Below are 21,579 nucleotides of genomic sequence, written 5' to 3'. Positions count from 1 at the left end.
CATCATGAAACCACCCCCTACCCCCCACCACCCTGGTCTGTGGAAAAACTGTCTTCCACAAAACCAGTCCTTGGTGCCAGAAAGGTTTGGGAGCACTTCACTAGGATTCACACAAGGGAGTCAAGTCTGATCTGATCTTTGGTGTCATTGCCTGTCATTACAAACCCAAAAAACAACCTCCTCCCCAGAGGAGAGACATTCTGTGGGCCACCTTCCCACATGCAAACACACAACCTGAGGGGTCCAGGGTGCCCAGCTCAGGAATTTTTCTGTTTTTGTTTTTAGAGATGGGGTCTTGTTTTGCTCTGTTGCCCAGGCTGGAGTGCAGTGGTAGCATTGTGAGCATGGTTCACTGCAGCCTTGACCTCCCAGGCTCAAACGATTTTTCCATCTCAGCCTCCCAAAGTGCTGGGATTACAGGCGTGAGTACTGTGCCCAGGCAGGAATTGGGAAACGTCACTTGGAACACCACAGCATTGGTTTGGTTAAGCCCCATGGGCAGTGCTACTGAGCTGCAGGCTCAATGACTACGTGGGGTAGAGCTCAGAGCTCCTTGGGCATCAGAAGCCTATGATTTTGTACCAGCCAGACTGGAACAAGGCTGGGCCTGTCCCTACGTTTAGAAACATCTTGTGTGTTGGGGGAGGGGGCCCCACATTCAGGAGCTGCCATTGATGGCTTCAGGTGCAGAATGGCTCTAGACTGGCCATGTCTACAAGTGTGGGGTTTTTCTTTTTTTTTTTTTTGAGACAGAGTCCCACTCTGTCGCCCAGGCTGGGGTGCCAGTGGTACAATCTCCGCTTGCTGCAACCTCTGCCTCCCAGGTTCAAGCAATTGTCGTGCCTCCACCTCCCGAGTAGCTGGGACAACAGGCATGCACCACCACGCCCAGCTAATTTTTGTATTTTTAGTAGAGATGGGGTTTCACTATGTTGGCCAGGCTGGTCTGGAACTCCTGACTTCAAGTGATCTGCCCGCCTTGGCTTCCCAAAGTGCTGGGCTTCCCAAAATGCTGGGATTACAAGCATGAGCCACTGCGCCCAGCTTACAGGTGTGTTTTTATAGTGGGTCAGAATAGCAGCTGCAGATGCTGCTGGACTTGGGAGGATCAGGTGACAGTCTGGCCAAGCAGCGGTGCTGGGTCTGGAGGCCAGAGGGAGGACTGATTGCACCCTCCCCACCCCTCTCCCCCCACCTCCTGGGGTCTAAGGTGTTCCCTCCTCAGGTGCCAGGTTGTTGGTCTCCCTCCAAGGACATGAAATCAGTCTGTATCCCACCCCGGAAGTACCGCTTCACTTCTTCTTTCAACATCTACTCACACCCAGACTTGTTTTTGGAAGAGTCCGATGTGAATGGAACATGGGCATTTTTACAAATTTAGAGACTTATGATTTCCCTCACGTTGTCTGATGTGCCAAGTAGGGAGACTTGGCAAAAAGGACACTCGACCAAGTGGCCACTGTCTTTGGGACCTAGGACAAGCGAGTCCAGGAGAGTCCCAAGGGCAGAACCTGAACTAAGGCCAAGCCCCATAGGTCCTGTTCCGGTGGGCCTGCCCCCTGGAGGCTGCACCCATCAGGCAGGCCTGGGCTTGATGTTGTGGGAAGAAAAGAGGCACACATACCCAGGAATGATAAGGGTAGAATTCCTAATTTTTATTTATTTGTTATTTATTTATCTTGAGACGGAGTCTCGCTCTGTCACCCAGGCTGGAATGCAGTGGTGCGATCTCGGCTCACTGCAAGCTCTGCCTCCCGGGTTCACACCATTCTCCTGCCTCAGCCTCCGGAGTAGCTGGGACCACAGGCGCCCGCCACCACACCCGGCTAATTTTTTGTATTTTTAGTAGAGACAGGATTTCACCGTGTTAGCCAGGATGGTCTCGATCTCCTGACCTTGTGATCCACCCGCCTCGGCCTCCCAAAGTGCTGGGACTACAGGTGCGAGCCACTGCGCCCGGCCTGTTTTTTATTTATTTTTTTGAGACAGAGTCTCGCTCTGTCACCCAGGCTGGAGTGTAATGGCGCGATCTCGGCCCACTGCAACCTCTGCCTCCTGGGTTCCAGCAGTTCTACCTCAGCCTCCCAAGTAGCTGGGACTATAGGCGTGTGCCACCACGCCTGGCTCATTTTTGTATTTTTAGTAGAGATGGGGTTTCAACCATGTTGGCCGAGCTGGTCTCTAACTCCTGACCTCAAGTGATTGGCCCACCTCAGCCTCCCAAAGTGCTGGGATTACAGGTGTGAGCCACTGTGCCCAATTTGTATTTTTTTTGAGACAGGGTCGTGCTCTGTTGCCCTGGCTGGAGTGCAGTGGTGCAATCGTGTCTCACTGCAGCCTCGATCTCCTGGGCTCTAGCGATCCTCCCACCTCAGCCTCCTGGGTAGCTGGGAGCACAGCCATGCATCACCACGCCTGGCTAATTTTTGTTTTTTTGTAGAGATGGGGTTTTGCCACGTTGCCCAGGCTAGCCTCGAACTTCCGGATTCAAGTGATAAACCTGCCTCAGCCTCCCAAAGTGCTGGGATTAGAGGCATGAGCCACTGCACCGGCCCCTAATGTTTATGGGTCTGTATAACCGCCGAGCCCTTTGTCCTGATCTTTACCCAGGAGATGGCCCAGGGGAACCCTTTCTAGGGACAGCCACACTGTCTGCCTTCCTCAAGCTTGTGGACCAGGGGAAGAGATAGTGAGAAGCTCTGAGCTGATTTTCGGTGAGCTGATTTTTTTTCAGGCTGGTCAAGGAAAGCAGCAGAAGGAACAAAGAACTCTGTAACTGGTTGTGATCAATTACTTGTTACACTACTGCACTTGGACCAGCAATGAGTTGATTTTTTATAAAGCCCATTCCACCTCTCAATGGTGCCAGCAACCCGAGGGAGACAGAGATGTGAAGTGGCCACTGAATGCCGAGGCCACTGACCCACTGTTGGGTGGCCTTTCCAACAAAAAGAGGGCCTTTGTCAGGCCGTAAAATGCCCCAAGAATTGAACACATGACACAGCTGAGCTTCAAGGGCCACGGCGGCAGCAGCCTGAAGAGTGTCTGCTGTGGTGAGGCCCACCAGTCGCCCTGGAAAGAGTCCAGAGGCCCGGATGGAGTTGAGCTGCCAGGAGCGGAGGGGCTGAGGCCTCCCTTGCCGTGAGAAGGGGCAGGTTTAGGCAGGAGAAGTGGGTCACAGAGCAGCAGCTTCTGCACTAGAAACATATAAAGGCTCATTGTATTAGAAACCTACAGAAGCTCAACTGGGCTTCAGAGAATTCCCTTCATCTAACTTCCTATTATGGTAGAATTAAGTGATTCTCAAGTTTTTTTGTTGCTTTTTTGTTTTGAAAGGAGTCTCGCTCTGTCACCCAGGCTGGAGTGCAATGGCGTGATCTCGGCTCACTGCAACCTCTGCCTCCCAGGTTCAAGCGATTCTCCTGCCTCAGCCTCCCGAGTAGCTGGGATTACAGGCACCCGCCACCACGCCCGGCTAATTTTTTGTATTTTTAGTAGAGAGGGGGTTTCACCATGTTGGCCAGGCTGGTCTGGAACTCCTGACCTCAGGTGATCCGCCCACCTCAGCCTCCCAAAGTGCTGGGATTACAGGCATGAGCCACTGTGCCCGGCCAATTCTCAAGTTTTTAAAAAAGTCCAAAGGCACAATTTTTTTTTTTTCAACATGACTGAGATAGGAGACAGTCCATATTGGAGTTGGTGGAGAAAGACTCCTGCTGGGCAGAGGTGCATGTGCAGACTCTGCAGGCTTGCAGGGGTTAGGGGCCGCGCCCACTGCCACACACAGAGCGCTGCAGGTGGAGAGGCTCTGCCCAACTCCCAGGCCCTCTTTCCCTGGACCACAGGCTCGCCCAGACCCCTGTGTGTCTGATTTGTCTGGGACGTGGTAAGTAGATTCCACTTGTTCACCAACCCCGAGCCAGCTGCAATGACCACTGGAGAGTGGGCTGAGGCATGCGGGGATCAGCTGGGAGGACACCAGGATCCCTTTGCGGCATCTGCTGTGAGGGAGGCGGGGCAGGAGCAGATGAGCTATTTGCCCAACTTGCTTCTGGAAGAGAGTTTTAAGCCCTAAGGGATTTCTAGGAAGGGCCAAGGGAAAGACATGGAAGTTCTTTGGTTCCAAGCAGTCGAAAGCAGTCTGGCCTGTGGCACTGCACCTGGCCACTCCTCCTGTGTCTCTGAGGCAGGTAGAGTCCAGCTGCTTGCCGGACCTCATGGGGCGCCCAGATGCCTGTACCCCAGGACCTCCTTGTTGGAATAGAGGAGGGAGGAAAGGGGCTTCTAGAGTCTAGTGTCAGGAAAGGAACACCCACAGGAGGCAGCAGGATTGGGCCTGAAGGCCAAATTCAGCCGGGCAGTTCTCTGTCCCCGTTCCCACACAGGGGTGTGTTGGAGACTTGACAGAAAAGCCCAGGGCAGGCGGTGCAAGGCCTGACCTAGAGCGCCCTCCCACCACCCCTTCAAGATGCAGAGAGCACAGAACCACGAGAGGAGAAGCGTCATGGACGCCACAAGGACTCGGTTAAGCCCCTCCAACCCCGGAAGGTCTTGGTCCTCCCTGGACAGCATGCGCCCCTCCTGCGCCCTCGAGGGCAGTGCTTCAAGGTGTGGGCTACAGTCTATAGTGGGACATCAAGATCAGTTCAGAGGGTTGTAGCCAGAAGTTTTAAAAAGTGAAATAGAGTAATAAAATATCAGTGTTCACAGGTGGTGAGGCTAAGTGTGGTTTGGCGAAAGTTCACGGGCACTCAGTAATAGGACATTTATTTCATCTTGTGGATTCATTCAAAAAGATCTGAAAGACGCTATTTTGAGGGGTCTATTTCTAGAATGGGACACCTCAGATAGTGTCTTGTGATCATTTTGGTAGGGTTGAAATTAGGACTCCCATAAAGAAAGCACATGCTGAAATTTATTCTAAAGGGGAAGGCCCCTTTTTATTAAACTTGTACATTTTACTTTCCTTCTTTCAGAATGCTAATAAAAAACTTTTGTTTATACTTAAAAAAACCATAAATCAGACAAACAAAAGAAACGATTCCAACATCACTTCTGTGATGAGAAAAGAGGCAATGGAATTCAACATAAGCAAAGAAAACTCTACCTGGAGGAAAGAAATCGATCAGCGAGGAAACAACTCGGGGCTGCTGCCAGACTGCAGGCCATGCGAGGAGGAGCCTCCTAGAGGATTTCCAAAGCAAACCCATCCCTGCCAGACCAGGAAGCAGCCGTCCTACCTCCCAGAGAAACAGACCTCAGCCCTAATGATCACTCAAATCCGAGTCAATCCCTCTATTTAAAAAAAGCTCACACATAGTCTCCCCTCCCTTCCCCAGTCCTCTTGGCGACAGGGCGGTCACAGGACATATGTGTTCTTCACCAGCTGCTCCTTGTCATCTCCGGAGCTCCAGACGGTGCGCAGGGCACGCTCCTGGTTCCTCCGTGCCACCCGGATCAGGTAGACCATGGAGGCTCCCAGGAAGAGGATCAACACCATCACGAACAGCCCCGCCAGAACCACCACTGAGGACGAGAGAGGGGCCTCAGGACGGGCCAGGCAAGGGGAGTTGCAGCCAGAGTGGCGCTCACCAAGGGCCTGGGGAATCCAGGTGGGCTCAGCCTGAGGACCAAATGCCCCTCCCCAACCCAGACAGGGTCCAGAACTGCAGCTGGAGAGGACACAGCCTGCCAGAGATGCCACCAAGGAGAGTCCCCCAAAAAAGGAGGCGCCATGCTATGTGCGTGCCAGCAGAGTGGCCGTGTCGCCAGCAGAGTAGTCATCTGTGTTCCTTCTTTTTGAACTAAAAACCCAACTCTCAGGGCAACCTGCACAGGAGCCCCAGGCCGAGAGATGCACAAGGGTGTAAAAAACACTTAGCACCGGTGTGTACACATGAAACCTTAGGGGCTTTGTGCACACACACGCTGACCGGCAATAGAGAAAGACGTGGCCCTGCAGGGGCTGGGAGGGCTGAGAGCTACTGCGGGATGAAGTCAGGGTGGAAGCGAGGGGGTACTCAGAGCTGTGCCAGCAAATTTAATAGTGTCTGCCCCACTGCAGTCTCGCTGGTCAGCTCAGATGCTTTTCTTCAGGAGGGGATCCGGCTAAGGAGTGTGACCTGTGGCAGCCTCCCCCATGTGGCTGTGGAGCTGCAGAGTTGGCCTTTTTGGGGCCACCCTCCAGACCCAGACTGCTTGCTTCCCAGCCCCGTGCCTGGCAAACCAGGCTTCACTGCTAGAACAGGACAGACTCGCAGGCCAGGTCCTGGCTCCTTCACCGGGAAACAGGTGGAGAAAGAGGCCAGACTGGCATGGCAGGTCTTTTGTGCCAACATTATCACCTGCAACTCAAGCTCAGAAACACAGGCCAGAGGCCTGGCCTCCCGCTCAGACCAGACTGTGTTGGGAAACACCCTGGCCCGTGGTCCTCCGTCCTGTCACCCGTGACCAACTCTTATGCCCCACATAGCAGCGCTCCCTCCACACCTCAGGCCAGCCTCAGGCCCGTGTGCAGCAGTCCTCAAATGCTCAACAGGAAGACCTCATCCCCAGTCACCCACGCCGCCTGGGCAGGGCCTGCCTTGTGACTGACTCACTCCAGCCCCAACTGTGTACACTGAACGGTGGGACAAACCACCACCTCGCCATTCTCACGCAGAAACATGACTTTCTGCCAAGATGATGTTCACAGTGAAGGATAATGTAAACCACAGCTGGGCAGGGCTGAGCTCAGTCAAGGAAGGGAGGAGGCAGGCTGATGGCAGGAGGAGGGTAAGGGGCCACTTACCCTTTGAGCCAAGGGGCAGGGGAGGATTCTCCTGCTGGCCTGGAAGAGAACACACAGCCTGAGGTCAGCTCACAGCCCCCATTCCACAGAGCTGCCGCAGGGGATCCCCTCAGCCAGGGCCTCCATGGGGAGCTCTTTCTGAGGGGCTTTCTTCCAGCTTTTCTGGGGCTTAGAGGCCTTGCTGCCCTGGTGGGCCCAAGAACAGCATTTCCAAGGCCTTCATATTTTAGGGATGGGGAGATGGACCGGGGTCCTCAAGGGCAGGGCTTCCTGGGCTGAGGGGCTGCAGACTTACGGAAGCAGCGGAGCATGCAGGCCTCCTCAGAGCGGTAGCTGTTCTTATTGCCCCGGCAGCCTCCATAGATGAAGTTATTGCAGGAGTTCCTCTCCACGTCAAAGTACCAGCGTGGGAAGGATGCACGGCAAGGCCCAGTGACTGCGTTGGCGGTGCAGTATTCTAGGAGTAAGACAGCCCAGGGAATACAAATTAGTAGGGCCCGCAAGGAGGGGAAGCAAGCCAGAAAGTGCCTGAGGAGGCTTGCGGCTCCAGCAGACGGAGAAACATCTCTCTGGTAAAGAAGCCTGTAAATTACACCCAAGACCAGTGCAGCGGCTCTGACGCGCTGCTCCTTGGGTCCAGGTGACGGCTTCGGAGCTTTGAAGGCTGCTCTCTGCCAAGCCCTGTTCTAGGCCTTTTACATGCAGTGGCTGAGTCTCTATGAGACCTATCTGGGACCCTTCATTTTATACATGGGAACTCTGAGGCGGGGCAACAGTCACTTGCCCACAGCCAAGCCGCTGGCGAGAGGTTCAGGGACAATGTAAATTGCAGAGCCACGTGCCAGGCTACGCCTCTAACGCACATCTCCACAGGCGCAGCCTCCTTCCCACTGCTGGCGGCATCCACGTGGGGCCTGTCACCTTGACCCCAACCTCAGGGGGCTGCCACCACCTGGGGAGGGGAGAGCCCTGCTCTACAACTTCCTCAGTGAAAATCCGCAAGTGTCTCTCAATACCCAACTAAGAATACATGTTTTGCCCCATATATAAGTTTCTTCGGAGTTTTTTTTTTTTTTTTTTTTTTTTTTTTTGAGACAGAGTCTCACTCTGTTGCCCAGGCTGGAGTGCAGTGGCGCAATCTTGGCTCATTGCACCCTCCGCCTCCCAGGCTTTGAGCAATTCTCCTGCCTCAGTCTCCTGAGTAGCTGGGACTACAGGTGCATGCCACTACGTCCAGCTAATTTTTCGTATTTTTAGTAGAGACAGGGTTTCACCATGTTAGGATGGTCTTGATATCCTGACCTCGTGATCCGCCCACCTCAGCCTCCCAAAGCGCTGGGATTACAGGTGTGAGCCACCGCACCTGGCCTCTTTGGAGTTTTACCTTCATAGTTGAACATATCGCTGGAGTGGTCTTCAGAATCCTGCCTTCTGGGAGCTGAAACACAAACATCTGTGTTAGGGAGGCTGGGCCGGACACAGGACACAGGCCTAGCTGGGTCTGGGTCTGGAAGGGCCCACTGAGGAGTGTGGACACGCCTTTAAGAAGGGGTGTGTAGCCCCTTCCATGGCCGGCTCTGCCACGTCACCCCAGCCCTAATGGGCTCTACGCACACACTGAGAGTGCTGGATGTGGTGGCCCTGCCGCCACCTCAGGGTTCCTATAGAAACCAAGCCTGCCACAGCTCCTAATATTATAGGGAACACGGTCTTGTTCACACTTTCTAATACAGTGAGGGGGACATGTTCCTCTCCAACAAGATGGAAACCAGAGCTGGTGTGTGGGGGGGCTAGCAGAGGATAAACAGGGAGCCAGGCAGAGCAAAGCCAGGACAGGCACAGGACTCCAGGCCTAGCAAAGCTGGAAAGTGACCACCCTAACGCCCCAGCACTCTGCAAGCCAGCCGGCCCAACAGCTGCTGAGCTACAGTGCACTCGGTGGGTAGCAGCTGCCGGGGGAGTCCCATCCTCCAGCAGGGGTGCGGTGCAGTACCCCCTCCACAGCAGCCTCCCAGAGTCCATGGCCTGAGGTCTGCCCCGAGGGTGCATTTGCTACCTGGTAGTGCATCGGGACCACTCACCCCAGGCGCCCGATGCAGAGTCCTTAAACCATAAAGGAGGAATGGGGCAGCAGCCGCCAGCACTACAAAGCAAGCTAACACACATCTTGAGATCACAAGCTGCAGTGGCGGGGAGGCGGGGGTGGCAGAGGACAGAGGATGCCCACGGGGCAGGGGACAGCGATGGCAACAGGGAGCAAAGGAAGCAGAGGAGACAGAACAGGCAGACAGGAGGGTGGGTGGGGAGTGGGGTCAGCAGAGCAGCTGGAGGCCCGCACAGCAAGGAGGGGCCTGAGCCTCATGGGCAGCAGCCACCTCCATCCCATCCTCCAGGAGGAGATGGGGGCCAGCCAGGAAGTGCTGCAGGATCCCCGGCCCCTGTGTCAGCTGGACAGTATAAACTCCCCCATAAGGATGCTGGAGCCAGAAGCCGGCAGCCCAGGCAGAGCCCCCGGTTTGCCAATTTTGAGTAAACAGAACCATGAGAGGGAAGCCTGTGACAGTTCCCAAATGACAAGTGTCCTTTCACAATGACCCATCCGGTGGCCTCACTCCATCGCGGGTCTCTTTAAGAACCTACCACTTGGGACAGAGGAATCCGCTGCATTCCTGCTGGTGGCCAGGTCACCCGTGGCATTCTCTGCAAGGGGACAAAGAAACAGCACAGTGAAAGAGCTTTCGAGAGACTGCCAGGGACAAAGAATGAGCTGGCCCTGTGCGCCTCTCACCACAGCATCCACTTCTCCTTTACATGGGACCTTCAATGTGCATGCCAGACCACAACTTGGAAATAAGGAACCAAGATTGCCTCCCGAAGAGGAAACTTAAGATTAACTTGCAGGGAATCAGAGCAGAGATGTGCAAAGTGACCTTAAAAAGACAGTGACTTGGCCGGGTGTGGTGGCTCATGGCTGTAATTCCAGTACTTTGGGAGGCCAAGGCAGGTGGATCACCTGAGGTCAGGAGTTTGAGACCAGCCTGGCCAACATGGCAAAACCTATTAAAAATACAAAAGTTAGGGCCGGGTGCGGTGGCTTACGCCTGTAATCCCAGCACTTTGGGAGGCCAGGGTGGGCAGATCGCGAGGTCAGGGATCGAGACCATCCTGGCCGACACTGCGAAAACCCATCTCTACTAAAAATACAAAAAATTAGCCGGGTGTGGTGGCACGCGCCTGTAGTCCCAGCTACTCCGGAGGCTGAGGCAGGAGAATTGCTTGAACTCGGGAGGCGGAGGTTGCAGTGAGCCGAAATCGCACCACTGCACTCAGCCTGGGCAACAGAGTGAGACTCCGTCTCAAAAAACAAACAAAAAAACCCAAAAAGTTAGCCAGGCGTGATGGCAGATGCCTGTAATCCCAGCTACTCGGGTGGCTGAGGCAGGAGAATCGCCTGAACCTGGGAGGCAGAGGTTGTAGTGAGCCGAGATCACACCATTGACCATTGCACTCCAACCTGGGCAACAAGAGTGAAACTCCGTCTCAAAGAAAGAAACAAACAATCAAAACACAGTGACTTCCAGGGCCAAATAATTGCTTAACTGTATCAACTCATCTAACTAATTCAACTGTAATACCAGTGCTTACACTGGGTGAAGGGTGGGGGGCATCACTTGAGGCCAGGAGTTTGAGACCAGCTTGGGCAACATAAAAAGACCTAATCTCTTTGGGGGGAGAAAAACAAAACAAAACACGACACTTTTTTTAAAGGTTAACATGACAAATTTTTCGTTTTGAAACGGAGTCTCGCTCTGTCGCCCAGGCTGGAGTGCTCTGGCGCGATCTCAGCTCACTGCAAGCTCCACCTCCCGGGTTCACACCATTCTCCTGCCTCAGCCTCTGGAGTAGCTGGGACCACAGGCGCCCGCCACCAGGCCCGGCTAATTTTTTTTTGTATTTTGAGTAGAGACGGAGTTTCACCGTGTTAGCCAGGATGGTCTCGATCTCCTGACCTCTTGGTCTGCCCACCTCGGCCTCCCAAAGTGCTGGATTACAGGCGTGAGCCGCCGCACCCGGCCCACATGATACATTTTACACAGCGCTTATCTCCCACACCTCGTCCAAGATGGAGGGAACCCTGGCTCCTCCGCATCCTCGGGCCTGGCCTAGCCTGATGCTATTAAACGGTCACCTTGCAAACCAGCTCCCCGCGTTCTGCCTCTCTCTTCATCAAGCAGTCTTCTGGCAACTGGACTAGAGACTTGCCTATGCGGACTAAAGGCGTGGGCCCGGGGACACGAGTGCCTGCTCCCCGGGGCGGTCCTGGTTCTCATGATGAATTAATACACTGGCAGTCTCATTCTCACTTGCCTTCCCACAGAGCCTGCCTGCCTGGGAGAGAATATGCCGGCAAAGGACCCCAGGCACTAGCAGCCCTGGCAGTGTTTAGCTCTTTACAGACTCACATGGGAGCGCCTCGAGAGACACACATTGCAGCCAGTCAGATGCCAATATGTGCTTTCTGGACCTGCAAGGCGGGGCCGGACTCTAGGGAGACAGCTAACCTGCCTGCTCCCAGGAACACACAGCCACTCATGTCCCCTGGCTATGTTCACTGTCTACTGCCTGAGTTCTCAACACTTCAGCTCCCTTCCTGAGGAGGTAACAAACAGCCAGGATGGACAGATACATTTGCTAAAGGCAACTCTTGACTGGGATAGCTCAGAAAAGGTAGCAAAAGATAGTTCTCCCAAGTCCTCCTTCATAATGAATCACAGCTGACGATAGAAATACAGTAACTGGGTCAACGGTGGCTCACAGAGACAACACCAAGTCATCAAAAAAACATGTTAGGGGGAGTGCCGCTGAAAATATTTTTATTTATTTTTTACTTAAAGGCCAGTGTAATTGTTTGTTTTTTCAGTTAAAGTGAAATGTTTAGCTGGGCACAGTGGCTCACGCCTGTAATCCTAGCACTTTGGGAGGCAGGCAGATTGCTTGAGCTCAAGCGTTTGAGACCAGCCTGGGTAACATGGTGAAACTCCATCTTCACCAAATACACAAAAATTAGCCAGGTGTGGAGGTGCACGCCTGTAGTCCCAGCTACTTGAGAGGCTGAGGCACGAGAATCACTTGAACCCAGGAGGTGGAGGTTGCAGTGAGCCAAGATCACATCACTGCACTCCAGCCTGGTAGGCGACTAAGCGAGAAAAAAAGAAAAAAGTGAAAATCTTTAACATAGGATTTGGATGGCCAAACCCTCGGGTCTCTGGAACACTCGGGATGGAGCAGCCCCAAAGGGCCAATGTCTCATCACCACCAGCTCTCAGGAAGTCCTTCTCACTCAGCTAAGAGCCAGGGCACGCTGCTGGGAGGTTTAGGTTTTAATTTAAACTGTGAGGTTATCAGGGTCAAAATTACCTTGATTCCACAGAACTCCTCGCAGGTGAGGGCCGCAAAGAGGATGGATTCCAGGACGTATGTTTGTTTTAACTTGATCGGTAACTTGGCTGGGTGAGCTATTCAAGTCACTTGTCCCACAATTAAAAATAACCCAAATAGCGGCCAGGTGCGGTGGCTTACACCTGTAATCCCAGCACTTTGCGAGGTTAAGGCAGGCAGATCACCTGAGGCCAGAAGTTCAAGACCAGCTTGGCCAACATAGCGAAACCCCATCTCTACTAAAAATACAAAAATTAGCCAGGCGTAGTGGTGGACACCTGGAATCCCAGCTACTCAGGAGGCTGAGGTTGCAGTGAACCGAGATTGCTCTACTGCACTCCAACTTGGGCGACAGAGCAAGACTCTGTCTCAAAATAAAATAAAATAACCCAAATACCCAGGGAACAAGAGGGGCAGCCCTGTCGGAGTGGATCAAAAAGCCTCTGCTCAAGAAGGCAAGGCTACTTCCTCTTTGGTCTGCTCTGAAACTTGCACTTAGTAAAGTGGGAGAAAGGAAGCTGGGTCACGCTGGCCCCAGCTCTGCCCTGTTGTTTTGCTCCCTTTCTGGGAAGAGGAGGAGTGAGGGTCTGCTGTGAAACCACTGTACGGCCACCAGGACATTCACACGGTGCCTGTTTCTTCTGCTTTTTAAAACGTCACCCAGATTCCACTGTCAAGAACTAATAAAGAGAGGAAAGTATCCACATTCCAGTTAATAAATTGTCTCTAAAGAGCAAAATCTGGCTGGGCACAGTGGCTCACGCCTGTAATCTCAGCCCTTTGGAAGGCCCAGGTGGGAGGATCACTTGAGGCCAAGAGTCCAAGACCAGCCTGGGTAACATAGGGAGACCCCCGCCTCTATAAAAAATTTCAAAATGAGCAAGGTGTGGTGGCATGTGCCTGTAGTCCCAACTACTCAGGAGGCTGAGGTGGGAGGTTCTGCTTGAGCCCAGGAGGTGGAGGCTGCAGTGAGACCCTGTCTAAAAAAAAAGCAGGGGCTGGGCGCAGTGGCTCATGCCTGTAATCCCAGCACTTTGGGAGGCTGAGGCAGGCAGATCACAAGATCAGGAGATCGAGACCATCCTGGCTAACAAGGTGAAACCATGTCTCTACTAAAAACACAAAAAATTAGTTGGGCGTGATGGTGGGTGCCCGTAGTCCCAGCTACTCAGGAGGCTGAAGCAGGAGAATGGCGTGAACCCGGGAGGCGGAGCTTGCAGTGAGCCAAGATCGCGCCACTGCACTCCAGCCTGGGCGACAGAGCAAGACTCCGTCTCAAAAAAAAAAAAAAAAAAAAAAAAAAGGAAAAAAACAAAAGCTCCAACTACTGCCATCTCACCTGTGACAGTGGCACATTTCTTGAGGCACTCCTCCTTGGTCAGGTAATTATTGCTGTTTCCGTCACAGCCCCCATACACAAACAGCTGGCAGGATCCGTCAGTGACATTGTACCACCACCTAGGCATGGAGGCCCGGCATCTGCCCACCACCTTCGACACCAGGCAGAAGTCTGAAACGCGAAGCACAACCCGGTTAGCTTGGCAGGGCAATCCTGGCAACAAAGGACACGCACAGACCTGTACATGGATCCCCCAGGAGAACCAGAGCCTTGAGTTCCAGCAGTTCCCCTGTGAGCTGTTTCCCAAGCCCAGATCGTCAACAGGCCCACTCAGTGCTTCCTTCCTTGTATAAACACATCACCCAACAATAAAGACAGCAACCCACCCACTGAACTGTATTTCAGTTGTGTGTTTTGTCCCCTGTCCCCATTATTGAAGACATGCACATCCAGTGTAGAAACATAACTTTATTTATTTATTTTGGAGAGAGAGTCTCACTCCATCGCCAGGCTGGAGTGTGGTGACTCGATCTCAGCTCACTGCAACCTCTGCCTCCCAGGTTCAAACGATTCTTTTGCCTCACCCTCCTAAGCAACTGGAACTACAGGCGTGCGCCACCATGCTGGGCTTTTTTTTTCTGAACTTTTAGTACAGATGGAGTTTCACCATGTTGCCCAGGAGGGTCTTCAACTCCTGAGATCAAGCAATCCGCCTGCCTCGGCCTCCCAAAGTGCTGGGATCACAGGCACGAGCCACTACGCCCAATGGAAACATGACTTAAAAAAAAAAAAACAAAACAAAACCTGACTCCAAGACCCTTCTGGATGCTGCCCCATCCCACAGGGCCAAGGGGAGCTTAGGGCTGAAAGGTCAGAGCCAGAGAAGTGAAGTTGGGAAGGAGAGGCGCTATCAGCACCCTCGGTAGTCCTCACACGTGCTTTTCCTGATCTTTCCTGTCCACTCTCTGCCCAGGCAGGCCACAGGACACTCAAATTACTGGAAGAGCCTCAGAAGGAAGCTTCTTAACTCGAGTGCCTGCAGCCCAGCCCATGGCTCCAAAGACAACACAGGTCCTACCCCTGCACCACGGCTTGTTACAGCTCCTATTTGGGCACACCAAGATGGGCCTGGGTTTCAAGGCACCCTCAAATCTGGCCCTACTTTAGTAAAAGGGAAACAAAAGCCAATGTTATAAAATTCCAGCCAGAAACACTTCTTGCAAAAGGTCGGTACGCTCTCTTGAAAGGGAGAGAGAAACAATTGCTAGAAGCAACACCTGCACCAAAATAAGCCTTTCCACTGGAAGGATTGAAGGCGACCTGAAAAGAAAACAGCCTGGCTGTGTGGCTCCATGTCTGCTCCTGTATCACGGTTATCACCCCTCCCTAACCCTGGCCTTCACCCACCTCTGCCTGCTCAGCACAAGGGCATTCCAACCTGCACAGGGCCTGGCACAGGATGCTTGATAAACATGTCTCCAATAAAAGCATCCCACAGCCAAACGCTTGCTTAGATGTTGTCATTGACTCCTCGCTAGTTGTTTTCATGTTTGTTAGGTTTGTTTCACCCACTAGGGATATATCTTCTGTTGTGTCTCCCCAAATATGTCACAGTGATGGGCATGAAACCAGATGTTCCACAGAACACTAATCAACGGACAAAAAAGGTTGCTACTCTGCAAAACAAACAAACACATACATGCCTCCAAGGAAATCCCACCCACACAATAGATCACAGGTAAGTAGCACAGCAGAAAAAGCATCTTCTGAAGCAGGAAATTCCCTATCATTTGAAAAAAGCTAACCATGAAAAGTCACCCGTTAGAGGGTACCTTATCTAGACACTTCATATGAATGAAAGTGTACAGTATGTCCATAAAAGGCAAATCAATAGACACAGGAAGTAGATGAGTGGCTGCTTGGTACTGGGGGTGGGAATGGGGAGTGATGGGTAAAAGGATCTTTAGGGGATGATGAAAATGTTCTAAAATTGGATTGTGGCAATAGCTGCACAGCTCTGTAGAAGGTGCTAAAATCCTTGGATGATATACTTAAAACGAGTGATTTTATGATAATTTTTTTTTTTTTGAGACAGAGTTTCACTCTTGTTGCCCAGGCTGGAGTGCAGAGGCGTGATCTCCGCTAACTGCAACCTCCACCTCCCAGGTTCAAGCTGTTCTCCTGCCTCAGCCTCCCAAGTAGCTGGGATTACAGGCATGCACCACCACACCTGGCTAATTTTGTATTTTTAGTAGAGATGGGGTGTCACCATGTTGGCCAGGCTGGTCTCGAACTTCTGACCTCAGGTGATCCGCCCATCTCAGCCTCCCAAAGTGTTGGGATTACAGGTATGAGCCACCGCGCCCGGCCTATATAATTGTTTTTGAGATAGGGTCTTCCTCTGTCACCTAAGCTGGAGTGCAGTGGCAGGACCATGGCTCACTGAAGCCTTGCCTCCTAGGCTCAAGTGATCCTCCCACCTCAGCCTCCTGAGTAGCTGGGACTACAAGCAGAAAAAAAATTTTTTTTTTAAATAGGGGCACCTTTTGTCCATTACACATCAACCAAAACCAGCTGGCTGTACACCTGGAACAGGTACAATATGCCAAAGGTCACAAAACACATAATCAACAAGGTCCAGAGAAAACAGCAGGAGGAGGTCCTCTGGTGTGTGACTCTGCCCACCCCAACGCTGGGAGCAACACTGCCACCAACAAGACGAGATGAAGAGGACCCACGTGGGACCCAATTACAATCCAAAGCTGAAAACAGCATCAAGGCAAGAGCACCCAACAGCTACAGAGGCGCCAGCAGCCTCTCCGCCGCCCTGCCACAGTGAGCCCTGGCAGCCCCTCTGGCTGCTTTGTGTCTTAGCTTCCTAAGCAGTGTCAGACACAGCCTTTTTCCACAATAAACTTCAGGGGAATATTGTACACCTTAAATGGGTGAATCATATGGCATGTGAATTACATCTCAAAACAAAAACCAATAACCTGAGGGAGGGCCCAACAACACCCGGCGCCCAGGCAGGAACCACCCGACACCACACCTGAGAATGAAGCAGGGTGACCCACAGTATCATGGCAGGAATTCGGTAACTTCGTAAGTAAGGGTGCCAGGTACACGTGGCATGTGCCTGAGGGTGTGTAGGAGAAAAAATGCCTATTGAGGGATGGATGGCAGTTACCTTGGTGAATTCAACCCTGCCTAGAACCTGGCCAACATCTTTATAGGCCCAGACATGCACTCTTGCCAGTGCCCTCGTGCTGAGGAGACACAGGAGCACTGGCCTCAGCTAACAGCGCACGGGATGATACATGAGACCACAGCAGCAGGTGATGAATTTACAGTGAGAACATCACTGTATTCTGTCAAGCAGGTTGCATGCTGATGTGAATCAGCAAAACACCTTGGAAAGCAAGCATCAATGGAACACGATGCTTGAAGTCAGAATAAAGTTAGTTTACTGTATGATTCCTAAGAACATTCTCACCAACAGAATCTGTCAGGCAGGCCAAATGCTCACAGTAGCGGCTGAGGACAGCTCTTCCGGAGCACGGTCACGATCTGTCCCTGAGACGCTTCCTTTCTGGGGTGCTGCTGTGAGCCAGTGCCTCTTCTAGCTTGGATGCTTTCTGTTGACGTGCTGGGGGCTTCATGACAAGTCTTGCGAGCCTGGGAAGCCATTCTGTGTCTAGACAGCTGCTTACATCTGCTCTAAATATCACTGACTTAGTAGTTTAAGTTTCAGAAAGCAGCCTTATTTTCAGGTTCCTTCGGTAAAGTAGGAAGGAAAGGTAGAACTTCACTGTTGTCCCAGGAGAATTTAGAAACATGTCTTTATGGTCAGGCATGGTGGCTCACGCCTGTAATCCCAGCACTTTGGGAGGGTGAGGTGGGCGGATCACCTGAGGTCAGGAGTTCGAGACCAGCCTGGCCAACATGGCGAAACCCCATCTCTACTAAAAATACAAAAATTAGCTGGGCATGGTGGTGGGCACCTGTAGTCCCAGCTACTCAGGAAGCTGAGGCAGGAGAATCACTTGAGCCCGCAAGGCGGAGGTTGCAGTGAGCCAAGATCTTGCCATCGCACTCCAGCCTGGGCGACAGAGCAACGCTCAGTCTCAAACAAACAAAAAAGAAAAAGAAAAAGTCTCTTTATTAAGAGAAAACTTGGACTAAAAACATGTCTGAAAGACAGATGTTGGTAGTTGTTGAAGCTGTGTGATGGTGCATGGGGGTTTACAAAATGTGTCACTGCTTTGTATATACTTGAAAATTATTATAATAATTTTTTTTTAAGATGGAGTTTTGCTCTTGTTGCCCAGGCTGGAATGCAATGGTGCGATCTCGGCTCACTGCAACCTCCACCTCCCAGGTTCAAGTGATTCTCCTGCCTCAGCCTCCTGAGTAGCTGGGATTATAGGACTGCGCCATCACACCAGCTAATTTCGTATTTTTAGGAGAGACGCGGTTTCTCAATGTTGGTGAGGCTGGTCTCGAACTCCTGACCTCAGGTGATCCACCTGCCTCGGGTTCCCAAAGTGCTGGGTTTACAGGCACGAGCCACCGCACCTGGCCAAAAAAAAAATTTTTTTTTTTTTTACTCAAATTTCATTTGAGTAAAAGAGTTCTAAGTAGCAGATTAATTGGCTGAAGTTAGGTCCAAATAAGACTAAATTTAACCATGTCCTTACTATGTTAAGACACACATCTTTTTGTGAGTATGGAAGGAAGCTCCTCGTTGAAGACAAATCGTCTCATCTTGTCACATGCTTTCACTAACTGAATTGTTTTTAAGCATCTATGATGTAAACTTTACTCTCAGGCCTGAGAGAACTGAAGTCATGAAAAGGGATTTTGTTTGCTCATTTGTTTTAATGGAGGCAGTGTTCCTTCAGGAAACACAGGCCATATAGTATTCACTTCCACCACAAATAACAACAGTGCATTTTCTCATTCACTGTTCTGCAAAAACCTTGTATTTATTTATTTTGAGACTCAGTCTTACTCTGTCACCCAGGCTGGAGTACAGTGGCATGATCACAGCTCACTGCAGCCTCGACCTCCTGAGCTCAAGCAATCCTTCCATCTCAGCCTCCTGAGTAGCTGGAACTACAGGCACCCACCACCACGCCTGGCTAACTTTAATTTTTTGTAAAGATGGGGTTCTCACCATGTTGCCCAGGCTGGTCTCAAGTGATCCTGCTGCCTCCGCCTCTGAAAGTGCTGGGATCATAGGCATGAGCCACAGCACCTGGCTGCATTACTTATTGCCTTCGCCAAGCATGATGCCTGGCATATCATGTGCCCTACCTCTAATGGTCACAATAAAACTGTGAATCACGTAATAATATCTCCGCTTTACAAACGAGAATGCTGAGACTTGAGGTGGTTAAAGTGAGGCAGCCAGCAGTGCCAGGATGAGTTCCCTGTGGTCTGATGAGAGCCCAGGCACTAACACGACCCTTCAGACTGATGGGAAGAAAAAGCCACTGCATCAACAGGCAGCAGGAAAACAGAACTGAGGTTGCCTAAAAGCCAAAACATTCCTCAGGGTCTTTATCACAATCTGAGGGCTCACAAAGGCCAGGCCCTCTGCCAGGCCTCTGTTTTCAGTCACACTCAATGACAGGGTCACGGACACCAACATACCAAAGGAAACGGCCAGGGCTGGGGGGGAAATGGGCTGGACACATTTTTAGAAAGTTATTCCTTAATGAGGAATTCTATTATTATGAAATGACAAAATGCTATGTTGGTCTTAGAATAGTATTGGGAAGCAATCATGAAAAATATGACTCAAGTGCTATTTTGTATGCTCACAAATGGTAGGGCAAAATTAAGTACATTCTGTATGTTTTCAAAACGGAGACGGACCAACAGGAAAATGCTGAAAGGAACCAAATTTGGATGAACTCATAAGCTTCAGAATATCTAAGCAAAAGTAGAATTCCTGCCTTTAGGGAAGAGTAACTTTCTTTTGGAAAAGCATCAGAAATGGCAAAAGTCACACATTATCCGAAATATGAACCTCACTTACAAAATCCTCGCAGGCATTCTGAATGTCAGCTATTGCAAAATTGCAAAGCAAACTGGTCTTTGAATGTGTTGGAAAACAAGTTTCTCTGGTTCTGAAGTCACTAGAGCTTTAACCAAGACAATCAGCCGGTGACTAAGACAACAATCTACAGTCTGCTGGATAGATCTGCTGTCACCTTCTAAGAAGGACATTATAGAATTCTGAGGGGTCCCAAGTACTACCAATCTAATCTAATTTTATAGGCTTAGCAAGATAGTACTGGGCCAGTGGCTCACATCTGTAATCCCAGCACTTTGGGAGGCTGAGACGAGCAAATTGCTTGAGCTCAAAAATACAAAAAAAATGAGCCGGGTGTGGTGGTGTGCACCTGCAGTCCCAGCTACTTGAGAGGCTAAGGTAGGAGGATCACCTGTACCGGGAGGCAGAGGATGCAGTGAGCTGAGATTGCGCCACTGCACTCAGGCCTGGGTGACAGAGACCTCATCTCAAAAACAAAAAAACAAAAAAACAAAACAGATGAGATAGTACCTAATCATTTTCCAAAAATGCATAATTGCAGCTGTGTCTACTTTGCAAAGTAAGAACTTTAATGAAATATTTCAAATATGCTGATGAGTACAGAAAATACCCCATGTCTGGTATATCCACATCTCAGTGTCATCAAATTCTAACATTCTCAAGGACTAAAACATAGAGTAGGCCTGCTGGGCAGATCACCTGGGGTTAGGAGTTCGAGACCAGCCTGGCCAATATGGTGAAACCCCATCTCTACTGAAAAATACAAAAATTAGCCGGGTGTGGTAGCACGTGCCTGTAGTCTCAGCTCCTCGGGAGGCTGAGGCAGGAGAATCGCTTGAACCCAAGAGGTGGAGGTTGCAGTGAGCCGAGATCACGCCACTGCACTCCAGCCTGGGCAACAAAGCGAGACTTTGTTCTCCAAAAATAAATTAATAAATAAAACATATGGATAGAGCAGAAACCCTTTGCATACCCCTCATTCAATCACATTTGCTCTGCCTCTTCCAAATTAACCCCCTACCACCTTGAACTTGGTGTCTTATTTCATTCATGTTTTTATATCCATTAAAATAAGCTTTGTTTGTTTGTTTTTTTGAGATGGAGTCTCGCTCTGTCGCCCAGGCTGGAGTGCAGTGGTGCGATCTTGGCTCACTGAAAGCTCCGCCTCCTGGGTTCACGCCATTCCCCTGCCTCAGCCTCCCGAGTAGCTGGGACTACAGGCGCCCGCCACCACACGCGGCTGATTTTTGTATTTTTAGTAGAGACAGGGTTTCACCATGTTAGCCACAGTGGTTTCGATCTCCTGACCTTGTAAGTCCACCCGCCTCGGCCTCCCGAAGTGCTGGGATTACAGGCGTGAGCCACCACGCCTGGCCCCAAAACAAGCTTATTTTTAAAACAAGCAAAAATAACTCCTAGGGTTCTAGTTATTGACAGACTCCCATGAGTGCTATGAGCTGAGGCACAAGAGCTTCTTGCCTCACCACGTGCAGGACAGGAAAGCCCAAAGCCACTCCTGAAATGCTTCTCCTCCTCCTCCTCCCACCCATCTGTTTTTTCTAGAACAAGGGTCTGCAAATGTTTTCTATAAGGGGCCAAATACTGAATACAAGCAGCAATTGGCCTGCCCGTCAGTGTGTGATCACACAAAGCAATCTCATAATCAGTGGGAAAAATGATACTGCTCAATGACATTTAAAAATTTTTGTCAGCTGGGCGTGGTGGCTCACACCTGTAATCCCAGCACTTTGGGAGGCCGAGGCAGGTGGATCACTTGAGGTCAGGAGTTCGAGACCAGCCTGACCAATATGGAGAAACCCCGTCTGTACTAAAAATACAAAATTAGCCGGGCGTGGTGGTGCATGCCTGTAATCCCAGCTATTCTGGAGGCTGAGGCAGGAGAATCGTTTGAACCCAGGAGGCACAGGTTGCAGTGAGCTGATCCATTGC

At 51.2% G+C, this 21,579-nt stretch overlaps 1 protein-coding gene across 2 annotated transcripts in view, besides 1 other annotated feature; it reads right to left on the bottom strand.

Moving 5' to 3' along the window:
- Nucleotides 2,352-2,853: an enhancer, noted in NCBI's record as "H3K27ac hESC enhancer chr19:38785153-38785654 (GRCh37/hg19 assembly coordinates)". NCBI's record gives its function as "activates a minimal SCP1, AML or CMV promoter by ChIP-STARR-seq in primed H9 embryonic stem cells {active_cell/tissue: H9 hESC(primed)}" and the evidence as "EXISTENCE:reporter gene assay evidence [ECO:0000049][PMID:30033119]".
- The window catches only part of SPINT2 (serine peptidase inhibitor, Kunitz type 2), a 28,043-nt gene continuing 11,214 nt past the window's right edge, over nt 4,751-21,579 (bottom strand). The window contains exons 2-7 of one of the 2 annotated variants that reach the window (NM_021102.4): nt 13,569-13,739; nt 9,431-9,490; nt 8,175-8,228; nt 7,086-7,247; nt 6,791-6,829; nt 4,751-5,526 (exon numbers count right to left, since the gene is read on the bottom strand). In NM_021102.4, coding sequence (NP_066925.1) covers nt 5,360-5,526; nt 6,791-6,829; nt 7,086-7,247; nt 8,175-8,228; nt 9,431-9,490; nt 13,569-13,739 — 653 coding nt within the window. In that variant the 3' untranslated portion in view covers nt 4,751-5,359. The remainder of the gene's footprint in view (nt 5,527-6,790; nt 6,830-7,085; nt 7,248-8,174; nt 8,229-9,430; nt 9,491-13,568; nt 13,740-21,579) is intronic. The other variant, NM_001166103.2, reaches the window with a different exon arrangement.

Source organism: Homo sapiens, chromosome 19 (genome assembly GCF_000001405.40).
Source record: "Homo sapiens chromosome 19, GRCh38.p14 Primary Assembly".
NCBI lineage: Eukaryota > Metazoa > Chordata > Mammalia > Primates > Hominidae > Homo > Homo sapiens.
This window is presented reverse-complemented; position numbering and strand designations above follow the sequence as displayed.